The 26,335-nt window shown below is 43.8% G+C and overlaps 1 protein-coding gene across 23 annotated transcripts in view, besides 5 other annotated features; it reads left to right on the forward strand.

Moving 5' to 3' along the window:
• NEDD4L (NEDD4 like E3 ubiquitin protein ligase) overlaps positions 1–26,335 on the forward strand; it is a 357,315-nt gene that overhangs the window by 43,246 nt on the left and 287,734 nt on the right. For 2 of the 23 annotated variants that reach the window (XM_047437409.1, XM_047437410.1), the window contains exon 1: positions 355–7,335. The exons of the other annotated variants lie outside the window; for them this stretch is intronic. In XM_047437409.1, coding sequence (XP_047293365.1) covers positions 7,273–7,335 — 63 coding nt within the window. In that variant the 5' untranslated portion in view covers positions 355–7,272. Of the gene's footprint in view, positions 1–354; positions 7,336–26,335 lie in introns of those variants that run through there. 23 annotated transcript variants of the gene reach the window in all.
• Positions 426–720: a silencer, noted in NCBI's record as "tiled region #539; K562 Repressive non-DNase unmatched - State 5:Enh". NCBI's record gives its function as "represses a minimal TATA promoter and a strong SV40 promoter by Sharpr-MPRA in K562 cells {active_cell/tissue: K562}" and the evidence as "EXISTENCE:reporter gene assay evidence [ECO:0000049][PMID:27701403]".
• Positions 426–1,295: a biological region, named in NCBI's record as "Sharpr-MPRA regulatory region 539".
• Positions 620–1,295: an enhancer, noted in NCBI's record as "OCT4-NANOG-H3K27ac hESC enhancer chr18:55755323-55755998 (GRCh37/hg19 assembly coordinates)". NCBI's record gives its function as "activates a minimal SCP1, AML or CMV promoter by ChIP-STARR-seq in primed H9 embryonic stem cells {active_cell/tissue: H9 hESC(primed)}" and the evidence as "EXISTENCE:reporter gene assay evidence [ECO:0000049][PMID:30033119]".
• Positions 3,613–3,712: an enhancer, noted in NCBI's record as "active region_13382". NCBI's record gives its function as "activates an Ori minimal core promoter by ATAC-STARR-seq in GM12878 lymphoblastoid cells {active_cell/tissue: GM12878}" and the evidence as "EXISTENCE:reporter gene assay evidence [ECO:0000049][PMID:35858748]".
• Positions 3,723–3,872: an enhancer, noted in NCBI's record as "active region_13383". NCBI's record gives its function as "activates an Ori minimal core promoter by ATAC-STARR-seq in GM12878 lymphoblastoid cells {active_cell/tissue: GM12878}" and the evidence as "EXISTENCE:reporter gene assay evidence [ECO:0000049][PMID:35858748]".

The raw sequence follows: 26,335 nt of genomic DNA on the forward strand, positions 1-26,335 counted from the left end.
TTCTTTTTTTCTTTTTAGCAAGCATACCAATTCCAGTTACCAGAATCTGTTAGTTTTTGTTATGTGTTGCCGCAGTACAGATTGCCTCAAAGCTTAGTGGCTGAAAACAAGGAACATTACTGGCCAGGCACAGTGGCTCATGCCTGTAATCCCAGCACTTTGAGAGGCCGAGGCGGGCGGATCACCTGAGGTTGGGAGTTTGAGACCATCCTGACCAACATGGAGAAACCCCATCTCTACTAAAAATACAAAATTAGCTGGGTGTGGTGGTGCATGCCTGTAATCCCAGCTACTCGGGAGGCTGAGGCAGGAGAATCTCTTGAACCTGGGAGGCGGAGGTTACGGTGAGCTGAGATCGCACCATTGCACTCCAGCCTGGACAGCAAGAGTGAAACTCCATCTCAAAACAAACAAACCAAACAAAAATGAACATTTACTGCCATACACACTTCCTGGGGGTCAGGGATCCCAGAGTGTCTCCGCTGTGTCAGTATGTCTCAGGGTTTCCTGAGGCTGCAGTCATTATGCCCGCTAGGGCTTGGGTGGGACTGAAGCACCTGCTTCCAAGTTGCCTCACTCACATACCTGGCAAGTTGGTGCCGTTGCTGGCAGGAAGCCTGCTTTTCTTGCCAGGTGGACTTCTCTGAGGGGTGCGTGAATGCCTTCACTACAGGGCAGCTGACTTCCCTCAGGACACATGATTCAGGAGACCAGGGGAAAGCTGCAGTGTCATTTTATCACATAATCCCAGAAGTAACACTCTGTCATTTCTGCAATATCCTGTGGGTTACACGTCAGCATTATTCATTGTGAGAGGTGACTACATGAGGGTGAGTCCAGGAGGCAAGAATTATTGGGGGCTATCATGGAGGTTTGATAACATAATTGGTAAGAAATTCAGATACACCTCAGACTTGATTGTGGCATACCAGTGTGTTGTAAAACTTGTGAGAATGGCTTGCCTTAGAAAGACAAGTAGTCCATCCAGTGTCTTATTCTTATGTTAAGTTGGGATTGCTATTTTGTTACCCTTGGGCCTCTATATACAAAGCCTCTCATAGTAATAGATCTAATTGGGTTGAAGTTTAGTATTATGTATATGCCCTCTGCTTTTATTAGTAGATTTTACTTTCGTGAAAGGAACATATAAACTTCATTATTGCATTTTTGTATAAATGCAGCTGGGGACATGGTTTTATTACCCAATGTCCATTTTGTAAATATTTAGAGAACTTTTTTTTTGCATCATAAATCAGTATAAATAGAAGCTTGGTTTCCATTGTTGCCCTGGCTATGAGGAAGCTGAGAGTGAAATTTGTCGTTCAAGTGTGGCAGTTATGTTACTGACTGGCGTATTTATATTCTCCTTTATTTGATATTTTGCTATGAGATGTTCCAGTTTACTTGTGGGAAAAAAAGCCAGGTGTTCTTGAACTCAACAAATATTTATTGAATTCCACTTGCTGGCCAGACAGCATTCCATGTGCCCCAGATATGGCACTGGACAGATAGATAAGGTCCCCACTCGCCTACAGCTTCCAACCTGGTCGTAAGAAAATACCTTAGCTTTTGCTCCATAATGTGGAAGAATTGGCCTCAGAGAAAACCTAATTCATATGTACCACGTTTCTACCCATTCAAGTTTTATTTCATAATTTTTTTTTTTTTTTTTTTTTTTTTGAGATGGAGTCTTGCTCTGTCACCCAGGCTGGAGTACAGTGGCACAATCTCAGTTCAGTGCAACCTTTGCCTCCTGGGTTCAAGCGATTCTCCTGCCTCAGCCTCCCGAGTAGGTGGGATTACAGGTGCATGCCACCATGCCTGACTAATCTTTTGTATTTTTAGTAGAGATGGGCTTTCACCATATTGGCCAGCCTGGTCTTGAACTCCTGACCTCAGGTGATCCACCTGCCTCAGACTTCCAAAGAGCTGGGATTACAGGCGTGAACCACGATGCCTGGCCGTATTTCATAATTCTATCTTTCCATAGAAAGAATTGGCTGGGGCACGTATAACTAATGTGAGTTACTGATTTCAGAGGAAGCTTTTGGAAGTGGTTGATAGGCACTGAATGGGATGGGGTGGTGAGTGGTTTAAAATAACACTTGAACCTTTGGATTCAAATGGTTTTAAATGCATCTCAGAAAAGTGAAAGGTGAATGGGAGAGCTACATCCATTGAGAGCAAGGGTTCATCAGCTAGGGCTGTGGCTTAAACTAAGCAGATATTCTTTCCTGGCAGTTCTACAGGCCAGAAGCCTAAGATCAAGGCGTCATGAGGGTTGGTTTCTCTGAGGCTCCCAGACAGTCATCTTCTCCCTGTGTCTTCACGGGGTCTTTATTCTGTGTCTGTGTCCAAACTTCCTTTTCCTTTTTTTTTTTTTTTTGAGACAGAGTCTTACTCTGTTTCCCAGGCTGGAGTGCAGTGGCACTATCTCAGCTCACTGCAACCTCCATCTCCCAAGCTCAAGTGACTCTCCTGCCTCAGCCTCCTGAGTAGCTGGGATTACAGGTATGTGCCACCACGCCCGGCTAATTTTTGTAATTTTAGTAGAGACGGGGTTTCACCATGTTGGTCAGGCTGGTCTCGAACTCCTGACCTCGTGATCTGCTCACCTCGTCCTCCCAAAGTGCTGGGATTACCGGCATAAGCCACCATGCCCAGCCCAAACTTCCTTTTCTTAGAGGGTGGGCTTTATCTGTGGTTCTTAGTTAGCCTCACCTTCATTCTTCCTTTTGGTGTTACGGTCTTGCTTACTGCTTTGGGAATGGATTTGTTGAAACTACATGTGACTAGTTTAGGGACCCAGTAGGAGGTTTTACTATAAGTGTAAATTAACATGTGCCTTTGGGGGACCTTAAAAGTTTTTGTCATTGGGCCATGAGATCTGAGTGCAGCTGGTAGAACCTCCTTGTTTTCTTTGGTATGAGAACTCCTGGGCTTTTGTTGGTTCCTTCCGTTTTCTCCGGTGTATTACCATTTCACATCACAGTGATATTATCCAGATAACACCCATGATTTGTTTTTAACGGAGTTTCACTCTGTTGCCCAGGCTGGAATGCAGCGGTGCGATCTTGGCTCACTGCAACCTTCACCTCCTGGTTCAAGCGATTCTCCTGCCTCAGCCTCCCAAATAGCTGGGACTGCAGGTGTGCACCACCACGCCTGGCTAATTTTTGTATTTTTAGTAGAGGCGGGGATTCGCCATGTTGGCCAGACTGGACTTGAATTCCTGACCTCAATTGATCCACCCACCTTGGCCTCCCAAAGTGCTGGGATTACAGGCACGAGCCAATGCACCTGGCCACACCTGTGATTTATTTTATTTCATTTGAGATTTCAGACTTTGTCGCTTGTTCTTTCTGTAGAAGTTTTTTCATAGAAGTATGTTGTTTCAAAAGCAACCTTCAAATAGTAGACTTAGCTTGGATGAGAATCTAAAAGTCTTTGAGTCCAACAACCAAGCAGGTCCCCTGTCCAGGAAGTACCTTATAGCTGATGTTTGAGTATCCCTGCAGATGGGAACTCACTACCTCCTGAAGCACCTTACTTCTACCCTTGGAATAGTAACAGAGATTAAAATGTCCTTCCTTAATTTGAGGTGAAATCTGCCTTCTTGTCCATTTTACACACACTAACCTTCCTTCCACCATGCAAGCTGAGAGAGAGCCAGGTTGAGCCTGTGTTTCCACAACAACTCTTCTCAGACCTCCTGCTGCCACCTACCATGCACTTGCTCTTCACTGGCTAGGTTCCAGTTGCTCTGTACCTTTCCTAAAGTGTGGTGACCAGAATTTGGCACAGTGAGGGAAGGTTCCAGAGCCCTTTAGTGTTATCGGGGGCACAGAGCTTGGGCTTTGGAGTCGCTCAGATCTTGAGTTGATATGCACTTCTTTGTCCTTGAGCAAATGATTGAACCTTCTTGGACTCTCAGTTCCTCATTAATAAAATGAAGATGAAACAAGATGAGATGGACTGTGCACATTTCCTGATGGGGGCTGGTATGTGCTGGTGCCCAGTGCAAAGTGGCTGCTGGCAGAATGGTGAGTCACCAGTACCTGCTCCCTTCACTGAGTGCTTCCTGTGTGCCTGGCACCATTGCTCAGGGCTTTACATGGACTTACTCATTTCATTTTCACTGCAGCCTAGAGCGTAAGTAAGTATTTGCTTTATCCCCATCTTATAGATGAGGCATTTGATTCTCAAAAAGGTTTCATAGCTTGCCCATGTTCTAGCAGCTAGTAAAAGGAGAAGCCAGAGTTTTCATTTAGGTGGGAGTCCTCAACCTGCTTTCTTAACTGCTGTGATCTGCACTGTGGCATGAGAGTTTGTCTTAATGTAAATGCACATGTAATAGCATTATTCACATTGCCTGAGACTGTGGAAGCTCCTTTGGCAACCAGATGCCACAGGGGACTCATTTCATGCTTTTAGAAGACTTGAGCCACTACATGCCCTGGGAACTGTGTTGCTTCCCCACTGGCCATCACTCTTGCTTTTGTAAGGGATGTCACATTGAGCCATTAAGTGTCATCTCTGGAACTCATGACTCTGTTATTCCACATATTAGGTTTTCTTTGTAGCTTTGTGTCAACTCCAAGCCAGGTAAATAAATCTTGGAAGAACCAAGTTACAGATGTGAGTAAAAGAGGGGATGGCAGGGGGCAGAAGTCAGGGCAGGCCCTGTGACTTGCCACCAGCATCCTCCCTTCGGGGGAGGTCCTTTCATCTGGGTGCTAGCTGGAGGAATTGGCAACGTCGGAGATAAAGGTGTAGATGCACCAGCTGAACGTCTTGCTCTGTTTCCCATTTTACGTATAAGATGGGTGATGGCATGCTGCATTCAGATCCCCATGGGTGTATTTGGGATTTGGGGTGGGGGATTGTGTGTAGAAGGCAGGAAAGATTGCCCAGCAACTCTCATTTGAATTGAGGGTGGAAGCGGTTCTCGGGCACAGTATGCCAAGGCCCAGGGCGTCCAAGGGACAGAGCAGAGATCACAGATGCTGAACGGGTGGGGAAGGAGCACTAGGCAGGGCATTTCTGATGAGACTTTGATTTGGGAGGTACGAAAGTTGTATGAGGAATCTTGATAAACTGCTTAGAGTGAATGGAGATGAGTAGGAATCACCACCATTCACATACTGGCTCTGCAAGCCACTCAGCACAGCTCTGCACCTGCTCTTATGGAGGAGAAGACAAGCAGAAGAGAATGTTCTGATCTAGAAGAGTTCGTGTAAGAGCATGAAGGCAACAGCACTTGAGATGTGGTGCACATGAGCAAAATTTCAGTTTATGTGGAATTTAAGATTAACAGATTAAAAGGTAAAATTCTCTCCCTGGTACCAAAAAAAAAAAAAAAATCCATGTACTCCCTCTCTCTCTTTTTTTTTTGTTTTTTTTTTTGGAGATGGAGTCTCGCTCTGTCCCCCAGGCTGGAGTGCAGTGGCATGATCTCGGCTCACTGCAAGCTCCGCCTCCCAAGTTCACGCCATTCTCCTGCCTCAGCCTTCCGAGTAGCTGGGACTACAGGTGCCCGCCACCACACCTGGCTAATTTTTTTTTGTATTTTTAGTAGGGACGGAGTATTCCCTCTCTTGACTGATGTTTCAGCAGTATGTGGACAGATTCTTTTTTAAGGTAAATGACCAGGGGCTTGTAATATGAGTGTCACTTAGGCAACAGGACATTTCAATGAAATGGTGATGGAAATAGGTTCTTTTTGTAGATTGTGAGCTCTTGGGAGCATGGATTTTGCTAAATATACTGATTTTTAAATTTTTTTGACATCTAGCATGGTGCATTTCACATAGGAGTTTTTCAAGAAGTACTCATTTCACAGGCATCTTGAATGATAGATGTTTGGTAAGAACTGCGCAAGACAGTGTACTAATCACTCATTCTCATTCAGCCTCTCAAGCTATCATGGTTGGTTAGTAATAACATTTCAAAATTATATTTGTCCCTTAGGCTAGCAGAGAATACTGTTTAACAGGTTTTTCTTGAAAAGTAGGAGTAGCGAGCTAGAGTTGTCTCTAGGTGGGGTAAATAAAACATCTCCCACCCCACCCAAATTGAAGCTGAATACCTTCAATTCACTACTGTGCGCATATTCATGTTTCATGCTGAGCAGTTCACTTGAGACTTTCTCACGGAAAGAAGTGCGATACAGTTGGTGGTAGTCTTATATTTGCTACGTGCTCATGTGTTGTCTGATGATAGAATGCAGTGGTCAAATATTGCACAATTTACGCCAGAGGAGGAGAATTCCCATCAACTCTCCAACCATCATAAATACTTTATTCCACACAATAAGGAAATTGAACTTTTCAGAAGAATGATATAGAACATCTAAAATAGGTTAAACTTGGAGGAATTATACTGTCCATTGTAAAATTGGAGCCACTCTTGAAAAATTGCTGCATGCCCCACTGAATGCTAGAGCAAGACATGCAGTCCCAGCTCCAGGGGCTTCCAGAGTGATTGAGGCAGGGCTGTGGGCTGCTTTCCTGAAGCCTGACTCCTTTCTTTCCTCATTACACTGCCACAGATGGTGGCAGATACAGCATGGATTGGCATAAGTCACTCTCTACTACCTGCAGAATAAAGGCCCAATTTCCTAGTGCAGCTTGCAAAGTCCTTCTCATCTGCCACCTTCCTGCCTTTGTGATTTCTCCTCCTGGGACTCCTGCACCCCCTTTTTTTTTTTTAATTTTTCTTTTCTTTTTTTTGAGATAGGGTCTCCATCTGTTGCCCAGGCTGGAGTGTGGTGGCGCGATCATAGCTTATTGCAGGCTTGACCTCCTGGGCTCATATGATCCTCTTGCCACAGCCTCCCAGATAGCTGGGACCACAGGCACATGCCACCCCGCCTGGCTAATTTTTTGTATTTTTTTATAGAGACGGGATTTCTCCATGTTGCCCAGGCTGGTCTCGAGCTCCCGGGCTCAAGCGATCTGCCCGCCTCAGCCTCCTACAGTGTTGGGATTACAGACGTGAGCCACTGCACCCAGCCACTCCTGCACCCTTACCTTTTCGCCGCCCTGGCCGGCTGGACGACTGCACCCATTTCACCCGGCATTCTTGTGCCTGACTGTGCTCTGGCCATTTCCTGTGTCTGGAATACCCCCATTCTCCCATGCTCAGCCCCGTGGACTGTGTTTATTCGTAATCACACCTCAGAGCCCTTCCCCTTCTCCATGGACTCCACCCCTGCTGTGTAGATGGCCCCAACATCATTTTGCTGAGTGGAGTGCCACTGCAAGGCATGGCATGGAGGAGCCTGACTGCATAGGTGGCGGCACCTTGAGGGCCTTACAGACCTGGCAGTTGAAGGTATGGGCTAGAAGACAGATGATTCCAAATTACGGCTAAGAAATAGGTAGGCTGTAAGGCTTGATTGCCGTGAATGCCTCTAGAAAGAGCACTTAAAAAAAAAAAAAAAAAAGAAGGGATTTCCCTGTTCATGGCCTATGAGTTTAAAAACAAGCACCCCATGTCATTAGCCCTTTGCTCACCACAGAGTTGCTGACACATTAGACGATCTAGATATGTGTCTGAGATTTTGGATGCCTATTGATTGTGTATTCACTTAGACTTTGGTGCTTTTCTAGATGTTTCACAAGTTAAGATGTTGTTAAGAGGTTCTCATTGTTTTATTCCTATGTTCTTTCCTTCCACTCCCAACTCACTCCGATGTCACTCATCTGGGTTCTTCTGCTCCTGCCTGGGCTGCTTAGTATTTATTGAGCTACACACTGTGCTTGGCACCCAGGGCCATGGAGGCAGGCAAAGAGGGGGGACATTTATTCAGCAGCTTCTTACTGAGGGTATGGGTGCCAGGTGCTCGCTCTGGGAAGGTGCAAATGAAATGGATGATGGCTGAGCCTGAAGAATTCCCAGGGTGAACAGATGGGGGGAAGCCAGTTCGGGCAGAGGGAGTGGCAAAAGCTGCTGCTTAAAGTCGTTGCTCCCACCGCGTGGGGAGTAATTGGATCTGTCTGCAGCACTGAGGCCTGGACAGGAAGATGGGACTGGAATGCAGAGGGGCCTTGCAGGGCTCAGTCGGGGCCAAAGGGCAGAGAGGCAGGGCACAGAGAGAAGCTGTGGCCGCCTTGGTTGGTCCCATGGAATCCTCGCCCATTGGGGCCATGGGCATTGATCGACACTGTGGAGCTTGAAATCTCACCAGGTGGAAACATCTCTGCCAGCCCTGTAATCATTTCCATAGTTTCTTCTGGTTCTTTTCATGAACATTTTCCAATATTTTTATTTGAGCATTAATAAAAGGTTTGCCTATATACTTAAATTTCTGCCAGAAAGCTTTGACTTCCGTGATCTAGAGCAAGCTTGTGCAACCACAAGCAGGTCACATGCAGCCCAAGATGGCCTTGAATGTGACCCAACACAAATTCGTAAGCATTCTTAAAACATTATGAGCCTTTTGTGTGATTTTTTTTTTTTTAAACTCATCAGCTGTCATTGGTGTTAGTGTATTTTATGTGTGGCCCAAGACAATTCTTCTTCTTCCAGTGTGGCCCAGGGAAGCCAAAAGATTGGACACCCCTGATTTAGAGTTTTAGGACTTAGGTTTTGGGAATGCCAAATGTTTACATGGAAAGGCTCATCCATTAGGATGAGCATGGTTTTCCTCATGAACTCCTTGGTAGAACCTAATGTTAGTGTGTGGCTCTTTTCCTTTATTATTTTCTTCTGTACAGGGTACTTTATAACCAATAGCTGTTTCTGAAAATATGGGAAAACTATTTTTGAATATTGAATCAATTACATTTTCAGGGTAGTTTGATAAAAGGCATTCTGTGGTCATCTTTATCTAAAACGAATCCTCCTGGCCTTAGTGTGATTATTTTATTTTATTTATTTTATTTTATTTTATTTTATTTTATTTTATTTTATTTTATTTTATTTTATTTTATTTTATTTTATTTATTTGACAGAGTCTTGCTCTGTCACCCAGGCTGGAGCGCAGTGGCGCAGTCTTGGCTCGCTGCAACCTGCACCTCCCAGATTCAAGCAATTCTCCTGCCTCAGCCTCCCGAGTAGCTGGGATTACAGGCATGCACCACAATGCCTGGCTAATTTTTGTATTTTTAGTAGAGATGGGGTTTTGCCATGTTGGCCAGGCTGATCTTGACCTTAGATGATCCACCCACCTTAGCCTCCCAAAGTGCTGGGATTACAGGCATGAGCCACCCCACCTGGCCTTAGTGTGATTTTGTATTTTATGTTGTGAGTTTTGTTTTTAAAAAAGAACATCAGTAAGTTCAGAAACCAACTCCATGCTTATTTGCTGTAATGAATTTTTCCCTTACATTGGAAAAACACAGTTCCATCTGTCCTGAAGGCCCATAAGTCACAGAATGCGGTGTGTTGGAATGTGAAATCCTTTCAGCCTTGCAGAATCTTTATCATTGTGCTAAATTGCCATGTGGAAGAATGGCAGGTGGCAGTTAGAACTTAGGGCTTTCTATTTATTCTCTTTCTATTTTGCATTAGTCAGTTAAGGTTCTGATCTTCAGAACTTTGTATGAAAGTCAGTGCTTCATACAATTTCACATCAAACTGTGGCATTGCAAGAGGCAAACCATTTGGAATTCTTCCTTAAATTACAAAAAGAAAAAAAAAAGTGAATGCACGAAGATTGTTTTGTTCGCAAGACTTATGACACAGCCCTCCAGCTCTGTGGCTTTTCATTCTGATGGGAAGGAAATGAGACCATTGTAAATGACTGTTCAGAATATTAGTGCCAGCTCCATGCCAAGTGCTGTTAAGAACATGGAGAGAGCATTCGAGTGTTTGCCTCTGAATTTTTGCCCAGGCCATAGTTCGCAGTTGGCCGGCAGGCTGCAAGGGCCATTCCAAGTGGGAGAAGCATTCCATCCCTGGGACAAGTAAACAGAACCTAAAACAAACACATGTTTAGTTGAAGTGATACAGCACCAGGCAAAGTGTTCTACTTTTAATGAGTGAAGGACATCAGAAACAAAGGATCAGAGCCCCCCACGTTGCATTCTCAACTAATTATAGCACTAAGGCAGGAATCCTTGGCCCTTTATCTGGAGTGAGTCAGAGAGTATATCATGCCTTATCTAAAGTCTAAAGTTAATTGAGCCCAAGGCCCTTCTGAATAGACACACACTGTAATCAGATATACAGATGGAGTGGGAAGAGGTAAATGGTTTCAGATGCCAGCCTGGTGTAGTTGCATGCCGGAGGGGACTTAAAGGAAACAGTGAGAAGTATTAGAAAACTGTAGTTGACCAGGTATGGTGGCTTATGCTTATAATCCCAGCACTTTGGGAGACTCAGGCTGGAGGATCGCTTGAACCCAGGAGTTCAAGACCAGCCTGGACAACATAGCTAGACCCCATCTCTACAAAAAATAAAAAATTAGCTGGATGTGGTAGTGAACCTATAGTCCCAGCAACTTGGGAGGCGGATGTGGGAGGATCGCTTGAGCCTGGGAGGTCAAGGCTACAGTGAGCCATGATCACGCCATTGCACTGCAGCCTGCGCGACAGAGTGAGATTCTGTCTCAAAATAGCAACAAAAACAAAAACCAAAAGTATAGTTGCAGAGAATGGCTTTCCCTGCTTAGTTTTATCCAGATGACTGTTAGAATAGTGGTGAAGAATCTGACAAGTGGCAGAATGCAGGGCCATGGGAAGGGGGAGAGTTCATGCCTAAGGTCAGCTGAGCAGAGGAGACTTGGAGAACTGAGAGGGGATCCCTCTCCTGTGTTTGTTGGGAGGGACAGAGCCTGTTGCCCAGCCTGCAGGTGTGGGAGGGACCCTGCAAGAAGTCCCTTTGGTCACCCTCTTCAGGCCCCACATTGCCTGATGAGGTTCAGACTCCTAGGCCTATGAAGGGTAATAAGGCCCGTCTGTTCCTGCCTTTACTTTTCTTCTATCAGTTTCTAAGCACTCTCAGCCTCCGGGCCTTTGATCGTGGAGCGCCATGATACAGTGGCGTTGTCCTGAGTGGTTAGAGGTGTGAATTCTCGAGGCCGACTGCCTGGGTTTGAATCCTTGCTTGGCCATCTTCCAGCTGTGTGACCACTCTATGCCTCAGTTTCCTCATCCGTATGATAGGAATAGTGGCAGTACCTATTTCATGGTGTTATTGAGCTGTACAGTTGCTAGCTGCTGCCATCATCATTGTCATTTCCTCATTTCTTTTAGACCCAAACTCTCACACTTTCCGGAATTATTTCTGGAGCCCCCCAGAAGGAATTGGTCTCTTTTATTCTAGATTCCCTAAGAGGCACAGAGGGATACTAGGGTGAGAAGATAGTGGTGGCTCACAGTCATCACTCTGTACTTACTAGTTTTGAAAATGTATCAAATTGCTGACGTCTCTGAGCACCAGTTTCCCAATGTGTTAAAGAAGGATGGTGATACCCAACCCATGTCACAGGGTTTCGTCAGTAAATGCTAAACCATGTGGTAAGCAGATGTTCTCAGTGAGCACCAGGTCACTATTATTATGTTACTTGTCATGACGAGTTTTACTTGCCACCTTGTATTATAGTTGTGATGACTATCTTTTTTCTAGCTCCACATTGGGACACATGAAATTATAGAGTTAAATGAACTCATTTGTAGATACTTGAAAATTGTAATAATCTTTGAATATCTGTACCTGTTTGTGTCCAGATTCTTCTGGTTATTTTGACTTCCTTATACCCCAGTGTCCTTTTTTTTTTGGAGACAAGTTTTTTTCTCTTGCACAGGCTGAAGTGCAGTGGTGCCGTCGTAGCTCACTGCAACCCTGAAGTCCTGGGCTCAAGCAAATCCCAGTGCCTTATAAGCAGGCTTCCTCAAGGCCTGTTGTCTTACTCATCTGTATTTTCCTTATAGCATCTAGGTCAGTGCCTTGCTTATAATGGGCATTTGGCAAATGTTTGTTGAATGCATTTATCATTACTTAGTAATAAATACTAAACTATTTTTTAATGGGAAAATAGGCAGGTTTGGGTTCTCATGCACATGACCCACATTTGTCGAATGTCTGCTGTGTACCAGCCAGCAGCTTTCTTCCTTTAGTGCTATTTCCTGTTAGAGTGGGATAGTGGTATTTCAGTCCACCTGATGACCATTTAGGCCAATCACATGTTAATGGGAATTGAATGCATGCATTAAACACAACACCAGCGGGTGCTGTCCACATTAAAACCAGGAGGTCTGCTTCATTGGTTCTTGACTATATTGAAAGAGTTGGAAATCTGACCTGGGCATTTGAGGTAGACTCTAAGGGGTGTAAGACGGCCCTTTGTTTTAGAGACTTAGGATTGGTGTGAGTGACTGGCAGGGACTGCTTTAGTGCCCAGACCTTTAGTAGCACAGACACAATATAGGAAAACTCTTCAAGGAAAACCAGCCCCAAATAAGAGAGTAGGTAATGTTCTGCTTCTCTTGCTTTATATTCTGCTTGCTTTACAGAATAATCTGAGATAGCTAATAATCAAAGTGCAGGTCCCCCAAAATGAAAGTGATCATCATAGAACCAGAAAAGAAGGGATAAAATACTGATTTCAAGGACTCCTGAAGCCAATGGCAGCTCTGAGTTTCCTGGCAGCCAAGACAAAGACAGAAGCATGCTGGGATGATGCATCCTCGGGCTCGGTAAAGGAAGCACAGGACCTGCCTGCTGCTGTGGGCTCAGGGAAGTGAGTACTATTTTCCCTGTCTGGAGTGGGGAGGAGCACTTGTCTGTGGTAGGGTGAGGAGGACCACTTCCTTGGGCTATCAGTCATTAAGGCCCCTTAACATCATGGCCGATTCTGAAATTACCTCTGAAAGTTGAGATTTATGTTAGACTGTAGCTCTCAAGCCAGTTCCCTTAGAGGCCAGAGTAATGACAGTGTAATTTACTTGCCACCTGCTTGAGAGAGACAATTGGTGGTTAAGGGACTTTCCCAAGGTGATAAATTGTTTTAGCAAACAGATCCAGAGGACAGCTCCTTTCCCCTGGTCTATGTATGCCTTTTGAACGCCAAGACCTTATCCTAAACTCAAGTTTCACGAATAGGATTAAAATACCCTTTGGGGACCTTTCTTACATTGAGAACAGAGGCTGGGCCACAGCTTGGCTAAAGCATTCCAGATCTCTCTTCTGAGCAAGAGATTTTGACTTGTTCATAAACCAGGCTCTCTCTCATAGTGGGCAAGGCCTTAAAAACAAACAAACCTGCAAAACCTGAGGAAACATCTTCCTCCTACGTACTTAGCTGATGTAGGCATTAATGGAAATGGATATTGGAGTGGGAGGCTCCTTTTAGGGGGCAGAAAAGAAAGAATGTTTTTATTTTTAATTAAAAAAATATTTTCTTTTGAGACAGGGTCTTGCTCTGCCATCCAGGCTGGAGTGCAGTGGTGCGAATATGGCTCACTGCAGCCTTGACCTCCTTGCTCAAGTGACCCTCTAGCCTTGGCCTCCCGAGTAGCTGGGATGACAGGCGCACACCACCATGTCTGGCTAATTTTTGTATTTTTTGTAGAGATGAGGTCTCACTGGCTTGCCCAGGCTGGTTTCAAGGTCCTGGGCTCAAGGGATCCTCCCTCCTTTGCCTTCCAAAGTGCTGGGATTATAGGTGTGAGCCACCGTGCCTGGATGAAAAAGAAATAACTTGATTATGGGTTATGGAAGTTTAGCAATGGCTTCAAAAAATGTCAGCAGGGAATGGATGTCTTTTTCTATCAGATGAAATTTCAGTAGTCATCTGATACAGCCAACCAGGAGAAGGAAAACTACTAAGTAGAAAGACTTAGATAAGTGGAGTCGAACATCTCTGGGCTTAAAAGGAGCATCACTCCTGGCATATTCAGCGTGGCCCAGCTGTGTTTCTCTGAGGGCGATGTCCTCCTCAGGGTCTGTGAATGGCTGAACTCAGAACAAGGCTTTTGCAATCTGCGCCTTCTGAATACAGTTTTTGTTCTGTTGGTTTAATTTGCATTTGGTGTCTGGAGTGCCTGGTCATGGAAAGAGCCCGTTCTTTGTTTTGGGTAATGAGGGCTGAGGTTTCCAATAAGTATTTCTCGGTTCCGTCCGTGTCGAGTGTCATTTGAGTAGCAAGTGACTGTTGCTCATTGCACTGGGCCTGCGAGCCTCCATTTGCACATTAGATTTTTGCATACCCTGCAATTAGTAAATTACAGAATGACATCATGAAATAGAAAACTGTATTCCCAGATGGAAATGCTTTCCGTATTCTATGCATTTTTATTCAAAGGCAGATGCATTTGTAAACCTCTTTGGATGGTTGTTCTGCCTTTGTCAGTTACTTCATAGCAAATGTCAACTGTAAACCAAGAGAGAGAATGAGCCAGGATGGAGAACTTTTTTTTGTTTAATTGTGTCATGTTGGGTGCTTTTTGGAAAGTGGGTGAATTATTCATGATGACATGAATGGGGGTATTATTTTAAATTAGTATAGAAGCAAATGGTTCACAACCCATTTATTAAGACCCTAATGTTGATGTGGCTACCAAGAAGCTTTACCAGCAAGGGCCAGTGTGTTGCCTTCCTTGGTTGGTTAGTTTTTCTACATCCACTTAACTCCTAGCCTAATTTTATCTTTTTTTTCCTCTGTTTTTCTTTCCCTGAATGTTTATTTAAGCTCTGATAAATCATTTTGAATTAAGGTCGGGTATGTATTTCCTTTCTTCTCATCTTCTTCCCCCTCCATGACTGCCTGCATTTGAATACATTTCCATTGTGTGAGAGGCAGTAATGGTACAGAGGGGTGGGGGGTGGTGACTGCTTGGTGAGCTGTGGCTCACATGTCTCCAGAGACACAGGGCCTAGGAAGACTGATTAAAAATCAACTTTTAACTACTATAACGGCTCACTTTCCTGAAACTTGTTATGCTGTAACCCCACCTATTGAAGACATAATCAGAACCAGAAAGTGAACAAAATTGACCCTGGAAATATGTGGCAAAAATTCTGTGCAATAAGTATGATAACACTTTTCTTTCAGTGAATTCTCTCTCAGGGCCCACTCACAGAACCAATTTTGACATCAAATTTTCTTCCTTTTAAAAATACAGTTAACCCCCACCCCCATCTGCAGGTTCTCCCTCTGCAGATTCAACCAACTGCAGATTGAAGATATTCAGAAATTTAGAAAAATGAAAAATAACAATATAACAAAAAGTAATGCAAATAACGCAGTATCACATCTATTTATGTAGCACTTGTGTTGTATTAGGTATTATATGTAATCTAGAGATGATTTAAAGTATATGAGAGGGTGTGTGTAGGTTATATGCAAATCCTATACCATTTTATGTCAGAGACTTGAGGATCTGTGAATTTTAGTATCCTCAGGTGTCCTGGAACTACTCCACCATCAATGCTGAGGGACAACTGTATATAATATAAAATAAATAAAATATGTACTGTAAAATTGTAATCTTGAAAGTTTGATCCTGTGGCAGCTGCTATTTTCAGGCAGCTCAGCCTTTGTTTGCATGCTCAAAACCAGCTTGTGATTTGGTTTCTAAGATCACGGCTGGCTTATTATCTGTGCTGGCTTATCATGACAGTGGCTCGGTGTTATGGACACAGTGAGCATTTGGTGTCGATACTCCCAGAATGAACTGAGTAGAATGGACAGGAGACTGACCTTTGTCTATTTGTCTATGTAGCAGTAATGCCACTAACTTGTTGCAGTGCTCTTTATCCTCAAACTATTTGCTATATATAGTAATGCTTAAATTACATATATTATATATATTACATATACATATTATATATGTGGATATATTATATATTATAATTATATATAATATATATAATTATATATTATATAGATGGTTCTGACTTTGCACAGTTCTGATATGCATGAGTTGCAATTACCATGATTTAAATAATACCAGTTCCCCAACAACTCTAGTCAAATCTCAGTTACCCCCGTGTGTTAATTGAGTAATTGCATGAAGTACACAAGCTTGCTGCTAGTGCTTCAGTATACAACTCACCATGTAAATAACAGATGCATGTCAGAATCCGTGGCCAATCACAGCACTTCTTTCAAAGCCCATGGGTGATTGGTCAGTGCACATGTTCCTTAGTTCATGCACAGACAGCAGAGTGTGTAGTTCTGTGGCCTTCTTGGCTATTGGGGATAAACCAGTGTGACATTTTACAAAAATACCAAAAATCGAGAGGGAATTGGTGAACGAAGATAAAAGTGCAGCAAAGAAGCTGAAAGTGATAATGCTAGAAGTGAAACCAAAACCTACATGGAATTATAGAAGAAATAGCTGACTGTGGGAATATTGGCAGTACAGCTGTTGGAGAGACTGCCTGCGCAGCCCGAGGAGGAGAATGCAGGTTTACCACATAAACAAGGAAAGTGGTTGTGAAGAAAAGAATAAAGCTGTCCTAGAGGACATGACCTTGGCAAAACAAACAAATTTCACATTAAAGGATCTCTCAGAACCATTTCCCAGCATAGAAAATGCAAAGGATGAAATGTATGCTTATTCAAACTTACGGCTCCTAGCAGCACTGTTCACAATAGTGGAAAGGTAGAAACAGCCCAGTTATCCATCAGTGGGTGAATAGATTAACAAATGGATGAATAGATTAAAAAACAGATTGTGATATATCCACGCACTGGAATATTGATTTAAAAAGGGACGAAGTACTGATACCTGCTACAATGCGGATGAACCTGAAAGATACCATGCTAAGTGAAAGAAGCCAGATACAAAGGTCACATATGATAAGGTTCTATTTATATGAACGATCTTGGTAAATCTGTAGAGAAAGAACACAGATTTGTGGTTTGGTTTCTAAGATCACAGCAAGCTTATCTCTAAGATCGGGGCTGGGGCGCGGTAGGGAAATGAGGAACAACTGCTTAATGGATGTGGAGATTCCTTCTGGGGCGACAGAAAATGTTTTGCAACCACGCGGACGTGGTGGTTGTATGACATTGTGAATGTACTAAATGCGCTTAATTGTTTACTTTAAAATGGTGATGTTATATGAATTTCACCTCGATTTTAAAAACGTGACATTTCACCAAGTCATAGAAAAGATGCTTCGCTTGTATAAGTTATGCGACAAAAAGATAAGCACTTTTAAATATTTCTTGATAAGTTTTTTGTTTCCAGGGTTTTAAATGGCAACGTGCTGAATATTTCACTATTTTTCACTTCCTTGTACATTTATAACTGACAGTAATAGAGTTTTTAATGCTTTGACAAAATTTTTAAGAAGTCACAGAACAATTGCATTTTTTCCTTTTCATCACTAACATTGTTTTGCACCGTTTCAGCTTCTATGGACATTCTTATGGTTTCATACTGAGTACTGCCTGTGCACATGTATTTCACTACACCCCCGCCCCCCAACCAACCCCTCCACCCCCCAAACACATCCCATACCCATTACAGCACGTTGTTGCAGGGAGGATTCTGAGATGCGTCTTCTACAATAGAAAAAGATGTGCTGGGCTTGCTGTGAAAAAGCAGAGGAAGTTAGAGGTGGGATATTAGTGGTGAAGTTGGTAGAACCTCAGCTGCTTCTAGGGAAGAGGGAAGGTAAAGTCAGCAGGTATTAGGGACCAGGGGAAGCCTGTAACTTATAAGGTATGGTAACTATCAGAGCAGTTTGTGGGATTGGCTAGCAGCTGTGTGGCCAGTAGCTGGAAGAACCAGTGGTCTGGACATGTCCTAGTTTTGAGAAATCTGTCGGCAAGGAGAGCGCTAGGACTGAAGGTATGATGCCTGAAGCCCAGAAACGCATAATGGGCTGTGACAATGCTGTTTCACTTGAGCTCATCGGATGCTTTCGAGGATTCAATCCATATCTCCCTGTTCTCCCTGCATTTTGACACAGGCCGTGCTTGCATGACAGTTGGGTTAGTGTATTCCCCTCTCCACCAGAGACTTGGGAGGGTAGGGGAGTGTGCCTTAGTCATTCTCGAGACTCCTGTGCCTGGCAGTGCCTAGCAACGGCTTAATAAATACTTGCTAATGAACCTAATTATTATGACATTAAGATTTTAATCTAAATCTTCTAAATGACTATGGGAATCTGTTTATTTTTGCTTAGGATCATTGGTAATGTTTTCTGGCCAAAGCTGCTTTTTTGTCTGAGCTGTGTGTTTATTTTTCATTCCTGTCTCTTATTTATATTGTGAAAATGATTAAGAAAAATAGGTGGTATGGCTCATGGTCTGATATCACGAGTCAATGTGTTGTTTTGAAGCCAACTCCACACATAATGGTTCAAGCCCTCTGACTACATCTTAGTTTTACTCCAGATTTTCTCCATCAATGTTGCTTGCATTTTTCAGTGGTACTTTTTGGAAGGAAAGAATACGAAAGCCAGCCCGCAAAAGATCACTGGGTGGGGGTCATAGTCTGTGATGGTGACTGAATTATCTGGTAAAGCATATTTTTGCCGTTTTCAGGGTCAGGCTTCAGCATAATGAGATTCCAGAAATTGTTATGAAAAAAGAAACCTTAGGTTACCCAGCAGCTAAATGATTACTGCATCAGCTAGCAGCTCCGGAATGGCCATTTGGCCCTGTAGAAAGATCATTCTTGGGCAGGCTGTTGATGTGGAGAGTGAGAGGAGCAGCTGTTCTTTCACCTGAGGCCCCATCTGGGTAGCAGATGGTCCCCAGCTAGGCACAAGCCCTGTGTAGGGACATCCGTGCTGCCCAGGATCCTGGGACACTGCCCAAATCAACTGTCAGGCTGGGAGCCTGTGTCCAGAACTGTGGATGGCATTCACTTTGGGTTGTGGAAGTTGGTTTGTACCTACTCTTAAGTCTTGCCCCTTCAACTCCAGCTCAGGCTTTTTAACCCTAGTAGAAGCTTTCTTATCTGTAGGTATTTAAGATAAGTTTGAACCTACTGGTCTGTGGGAAGGTACCGAAAAAGCCAAAAGCTGCAGCTCCTGGGGAGCTTACAGGCTCCCCCTTGTTGAGAGTCTCCCGAGTGCTAGGTACTGTGGGTTTAAGGGAGACCCTGCAGTGGTCAAAAGGCTGCCTGGTGAAGGGGGGCCGGTTCCCATACTTCTCAGATGTGCCTTTGGGCAAGCCACTTGCCTCCTGGTGCTTCTCTTTTGTCATCTGTTAAAGGGGTTAGTGAAGGACCCTTCTCATAGGGTTGTTATGAAGATTAAATGATTTAAAGTATGCAGAGTGCTAAGAACAGTGCCTGGCAGATGATTAAAAAAATTGTTACAGAAATACAGTACAATAACATTTTTGGTCACATTTAATCCTCAAAGCAATCATGCAGAAAGGGCAATTGTCATACCTATTTTGCATGAGAGACTCAACCACTCGCCCAAAGTCACAGTGCTAGAAAGGACTTGAGCCAGGATCTGAACCTGTCCCCTGAAATCTTCACCTGCTTTGCTTCTTGACACGGCAGGAGAATGATGAGGAAGTGGGTTAGTCTGCTAGGGCTGCTGTAACAACTGCAGATGGGGTGGCCAAAACCTCAGACATTTATTTATTTTTTTAATATAATCTTGGATGTTGGAAGTCGAAGATCAAAGTGTTGACAGGCATGGGTTCTTCTGAGACATCCCTCCTTGGCTTGCAATTGGTCACCTTCTTGCTTCTTCACATGGTCCTCCTTCTGTGTGTGACTGTGTCCAAATTTCCTTTCTGTAAGGACACAGCCATATTGGATTAGGCCCACCCTATTGACCTCATCTTAACTTATTTACTCCTTTAAAAACCCTGACTCCTTATACAGTCACACTCCGAGGTACTGGGGATTAGGATTTCAATGTATGAATTTTGGAGGTGAGAGGACACAATTCAGCCAATACCAGTAAATGATTAGTAATCAAACACAGGGATTGAATACGCAGATATTAAGGATTGGAATGAAGCCAGAATTTGGAAGGATTAGAACTGATGGAGGCAGGTGCTTGGTCTGGGTGATTTTTGAAAATGATTTTCAGGCCAGGTGAGGTGGCTGATTCCTGTAATCCCAGCACTTTTGGAGGCCGAGGCTGGCAGATCACTTGAGGCCAGGAGTTTGAGACCAGTCTGGGTAACATGGCAAAACCCTGTCTCTACAAAAATTACAAAATATCAGCCAGAAGTGGTGGCTTGTGCCTGTAGGCCCAGCTCCTCTGGAGGCTGAGGTGGGAGGATCACTGGAGCCTGGGAAGTCAAGTCTGCAGTGAGCAAAGATCTGTGCCTCTGCACCCCAAGCTGGACAACAGAGCAAGACCCTGTCTCCAGAAAAAAAAAAAAAGGCTTTCAACAGAGTCAGTCGTGGACAAAGAGGAAAGGACTTTTTTCCTCCCCTGCAGCTTTAACCTCCCAGGCTCATATGATCCTCCCATTCCGGCCTCCCAAGTAATTGGGACTACAGGTACGCATGCCACTATGCCCAGCTAATTTTTTTTTTGTATTTTTAGTAAAGATGGGGTTTTGCCATCTTGCTTCTGCTGGTCGTGAACTCCTGGGCTCAAGCAATCCTCCTGCCTTAGCCTCCCAAAGTACTGGGATTACAGGCATGAGCCACTGCACCCAGCTGGAAAGGACTTTTTGTGCGGTGAGAGGAGGATCCTCAGAATACGGAGATCTGGGGTCCGCAGACCCATTGTGGGATGCACATTGATTTAGTTAGATCTTGAGTGAAGAGATACTGTGTTAGCTGACTGCGTGATAAACGTTAGCCTGAGAAATTAGTTTGTTATTTTGATAGGCATTTGAGTCATTTATTGAACTAAAAGCTTTGGGGTGCCTCATGTACTAGGCACGAAATCACAGTACAGTTCTTATCAGGGGAGAGATCATTTGGGTCTCAGTTTCCTAAAAGTAGCTTTTAACTCCAAAATTGTTTTAATCTATGTTTGTAGAGGAACATCATGAAAATATTTTGAAATTAAACTTCTTAAGTATACCTTAATTTTATACTGTTATTATTTTATTTCATTTTTATGTTTATTTTTTGAGACAAGTTTCACTGTGTCGCCCAGGCTGGAGTGCAGTGGTGCGATCTCAGCTCACTGCAACCTCCGCCTCCTGGGTTCAAGTGATTCTCGTGTCTCAGCCTCCCGAGTAGCTGGGATTTTAGGCATCCGCCACCACGCCCAGCTAATTTTTGTATTTTTAGTAGAGACAGGGTTTCATCATGTTGGCCAGGCTGGTCTCAAACTCCTGAGCTCAGGTGATCCACCCACCTCGGCCCCCCAAAGTGTTGCGATTACAGGCATGAGCCACCGTGCCCAGCCTACTGTTATTATTTTAATTAGTAAATTTTGGTATAATAGAGACTGGATTTTGACTTAAGGCTATCTGGGTTTAAATCCTGGCTCTGTCACTTAATAGCTTTGTCAGATATACCATATGACATAAATAGGCAGAGTTTCCATCTTATCACCTGTGAAAAGTGGATAACTGTACACATCACATTGGATTGCCACATGCAGTAATGGATGTGGAGGTTCTGTCCAGCATTGTGTCTTTCCCATGATAGGCACTTGTGCTAATGCTATGCAAGAAGGTAGAAAGTTGAAAGTGGATAGCTAAAAGTGGAGGCAAATTAAGGGACTTCTTAAAATATTTTTATTTAATAGAAAACAATATATAGCAAGAAAATTTGGATCAATTCTTTCATGCATTCAACAATTGAAGTCTGAGAACCAGCCGTGATTAGGTGCTCCAAATTAGAATAAGGCAAGGCTCCTGCCCTCATTGAGCTTCCAGGCAGGCGGGAAGCCCAGGAGGGCGTGATAAGTGCTACAATTCAGGTGTGTTCAGGTTGTCATGCAGGTATTGAAGAGGGCTACTTTTGGATTTATGCCCACAGAAGAGTTTCACAGTTTCTGAATTTTTGCCCCAGGATGGGAGCAGGCACTTGCATTAACATTTGAATTAATCACCCAGAGAAGAGTGGAAAAGTTATTTCAGGCAATGGTAACAGCATGTGCAGAAGTCTAGAGGGATGGGAGAGGCCACATGGCATGGTTGGAAAATAGCAGCTCAGGAATCCATTTGCTGTGGGGGTGGTAAGTGGAGGACTAGATTTGTGAAAGGGGACAGATCACACAGGCTTTGGGAACAACTAGGAGGTTTTTTTTTTGTTTTTTTTTTTTTTTTTGAGACGGAGTCTCACTCCATCACCCAGGCTGGAGTGCAGTGGCATGATCTCGGCTCACTCAACCTCTGCCTCCTGGGTACAAGCAACCCTCCTGCCTCAGCCTCCCAAGTAGCTGGGATTACAGGTGCCCCCCACCACACCTGGCTAATTTTGTATTTTTAGTAGAGACGGGGTTTCGCCATGTTGGCCAGGCTGGTCTCTAACTCCTGACCTCGTGACCCACCTGCCTTGGCCTCCCAAAGTGCTAGGATTACAGGCATGAGCCACCAAACCCGGCTGACTAGGAGATTTTTAAGCAGGGAAGCAATTTGATGATATTTACAGTTTTAGGAAGACCAAACTGACAGCAGCTTGGAGGCTGATTTGGAAAGGAGGCAGAGTGGAAGGCAGGGTTGTTGAGGGGGGATGTTTTAGAAAGATTTTGTGATGATTCTGCTGAGACTGAGGTTCTGAACTTGGGCTGCCCTAGGGCTGCCCTACAGCAGCCCAGGAGGACAGATTGCAGAGCTTTGAGATAGTTGGCATCAAGATGGGTGTGTCTGGGGTGGGCATGACTGGGTTTCTAGCTTGGGTGTCCAAGTGGATAAATAGCCTTTCATGTGGAGGCTGAGGGCATGGGCAGGTTGAGTACTGTCCTTCTTCCCCAAAGGTAGCTGGCCAGCCATGGGAGTCAATCCACATGGGATGGAAGGATGGAGAATGCCAGCTCCTCTTTAAAGACTTGGCCCTGAAGAATAGAGCTTGCAATTTTGTATCTAGGGTAGTCATTAAGATCCGTTCACACAGGTTTGGATCTTTAATCTCCAGAATAGAGGGTGGGATGCTCCCTGCTCCATTGAGCCCAGGTCATCATGTGACAACCTGTGACTAATTAGGCAGTGAGCTGATGAGATTCGTGTGGCTCTTGAGCTAAGCTTTTGAAGCCAGGGTGAGACTCTCTGGCCCTCATTATCTCAGCTGTGGTGCTTGGCATGTCCCAGAAGGTAGCCGTGCTGTGGACCTCAGTCCCCGAGGGAGCGCTGTGCCACCGCCACCCACGATGGACCTGCCCTGAGAGAGAAGCCTTTGTTTTAGGCTCTTTAAGATGACATGGGGATTTTGGTGGTGTTTTTCTAGCCTAATCTAGCCCTTCCTGACTCAAGTTTTTGTGTAAGAGACCAAACCTTGCTCATTTTCTTTTCCTTAGCTACAAATCAGTTTTGAACTTACCCTTTTTCAGTATATGCCTGTGCATGTGTATGCCTTTGTGCGCAGGCAGACAAATATAGCTAGGACCAAAAGCATTTCTGCTGTTACCATTATCCTTTTGTCCAAGGTATTTTTCAATGAACTAAATGTCAGAAACACACACGCTTTCTTAAAAAAGCAGCTTTATTGAGATATGATTCACATACCTTACAATTCACCCATTTACAGTGTATAATTCAATTACTTTTATTATATTCAACGTTGTGCAACCATCATTATGATGTTAATTTTTTTGTTTGTTCCTCTTGTTGAGACAGAGTCTCACTGTCGCCCAGGCTGGAGTGGAGTGGCACAATCTCGGCTTACTGCAACCTCTGCCTCCTGCGTTCAAGCAATTCTCCTGGCTCAGCCTCCCAGGTAGCTAGGACTACAAGCTCATGCCACTACACCCAGCTAGTTTTTGTATTTTTAGTAGAGACAGGGTTTCATCATATTGGTCAGGCTGGTCTTGAACTCCTGACCTCAGGTGATCCACCTGCCTTGGCCTCCCAAAGTGCTGGGATTACAGGTGTGAGCCACTGTGCCTGGCTGATGTTAATATTTTTATTACCCATAAAAGGAAGCCTGTACGATATAACCATCACCCCCCAGTTCTCCCACACATCCCTCTCCCCATCCCTAGGCAGCCTCTAAACTACTTTGTATCTCTACATTTTGCCTATTCTGGACATTTCATATAAACTGAGTCATGCCATGTATGGTTGTTTGTGACTGGCTTCTTTCAATTAGTGGAGTGTTTTCCAGGGTCATCAATGTTATAGCAGGTATCAGCACTTCATTCCTTTTTATTGGTCAAATACTAGTCTGTTGTATGGGATACATTGTGTTATAAAACCATATGGTTTCTAGAGATGGAAGCCATGCTGACCCCTGTAGAGTTTTGTTTATCCATTTATCAGTTGATGAACATTTGGATTGTTTCTGCTTTTTGCTTCTATGAACCTCTATGTAGTACATTCTTGTACAGGTTTTGGATGAATATGTTTTCATTTCTCTTGGGTTTATACCTAGGAATGGAACTGCCAGACTGTTTTCCAAAGCAGCTCACCATTTGACATTCCCCCCCAGCAGTGTCTGAGGGTTCCAGTGTATCTGCATCCTCAACAACACGTGTTGTCTGTCCAGTGATAGCCATCCTACTGGGTGTCCCTGTTGTTTTATGTCATTTAACACCAAACTTAGATCACATTTCTGCATTACTGACTTTGCACATACCGTCCCCAACTTGCAACTTATGCTGTCATTAACTTGTGTAGATTTATCCATGTTTGGCTGTTTATGAGGATTTGTCCGTGTCAACATGTATGTTTCATAAGGACATTCTTACCTTCCATTACCAGACCTACATTCTCAATTTAAGATTTGATATTTTTTCAGTGTTTAGGTTTTCAATTGAATCAACTGACAAGTTTAGTGGCTTAAACTTTCAAGCTTAAACTGAAATGCCAATCTTGTTTTAGACCAAAAATTACATCCTATCTCTTCTCTTAATTGAGGAACTTAGGTGGTGGTTCCTATTTGTCTTTATTTATTTATTTATTTATTTATTTATTTATTTATTTATTTATTTATTTTTGCCTACTTCAGTTTGGTCGGTAAACTATCAATTGTATTTTCAGTATGTATATATATATAGAGAGAGATTTTTAAAATTTTATTATTATTTTTTGAGACAGAGTCTCACTCTGATGCCTAGGCTGGAGTGCAGTGGTGTGATCTTGGTTCACTGCAACCTCCACCTCCTGGGTTCAAGTGATTCTCTTGCCTCTGCCTCCCAAGTAGCTGGGATTACAGGCATGTGCCACCATGCCCAGCTGATTTTTTGTATTTTTAGTAGAGATGGGGTTTCTCCATGTTGGCCAGGCTCATCTCGAGCTCCTGAGCTTAGGTGATCTGCCTGCCTTGGCCTCCCAAAGTGCTGGGATTACAGGCATGAGCCACCATGCCTGGCCCATTATATATACATTTTTAATATAATGTGAAATCATGTGGTCTCTACTATAGACTGAATATTTGCATCCTAAACCCCAATGGGATGGTATTAGGAGGTGGGGCCTTTGGGACGTGATTAGGTCCTGAGGGTAGAGCCCTCATGAATGGGATTAGTGCCCTTATAAGAAGAGGCCAAGTGAGCTTGTTTGCTCCTTCTACCATGTGAGGATACAGCAAAGAACGTGCTTTCTGTGAACCAGGAAGTGGCCCTAGTCAGACACTGAATTTGCCAGCACCTTGATCTTGGACTTCCCAGCCTCCAAACCTGTGAGAAATAAGTTTCGGTTATTTATAAACCACGCAGTCTGTGATAGTTTGTTAGAGGAACCCAAACTTAAAGGCAGCTTCTAAAGGGGAGCAATGCTGACCACTCTGTAGTTTGTATATTTGGTCAACACACTTTATTGAGTGATGAGTCTGAATTTCATGCTTGATTGATGATGATTGGTGACAGAGTAGACAAGGTCCCTGCTTCATGGAGTCTATGGTCTAGTTGGGGAAATATACCTTTATTGAATCAAGGCAGATGTGATTACAGATTGAACAATGGCTGTAGAAGGAAAGGGATTTCCAAGAGAGAATTAGAGGGGCTTCTCAAATTGAGTTTGACTTTCTCTTTGGTGGGGGTTGAGTCAGGAAGAACCTTTTTGAAGCAGGAAAAATCTTTAGCTGAGACCTAAAGGAAGGGGAGGAGCTTGCCTGGGAAGGACACTGTGGTGGCTGGAGGGGGTTTCCCAGGCAGGGACACTCTGGCAGGTTAGAGTAACTGAAATAAAGTCTGTATTGGAGTGCAGAGACTGCCAGAAGAGGGGCTCATAGAGGCCAAAGTGGGACGGCCTTACGGACGAGCTGATAATTTGGGCATTATTCAAGGTGGGGTGCTATGTCATTGAAGGGTTTTAGCAGAGGGGAGGCATTATCCAAGTTAAAGAACAAAACAAAACAAAACAAAACCCACTCTAGTTGCTGTGTGGCAG

This window comes from Homo sapiens, chromosome 18, assembly GCF_000001405.40.
Source record: "Homo sapiens chromosome 18, GRCh38.p14 Primary Assembly".
Classification (NCBI taxonomy): domain Eukaryota; kingdom Metazoa; phylum Chordata; class Mammalia; order Primates; family Hominidae; genus Homo; species Homo sapiens.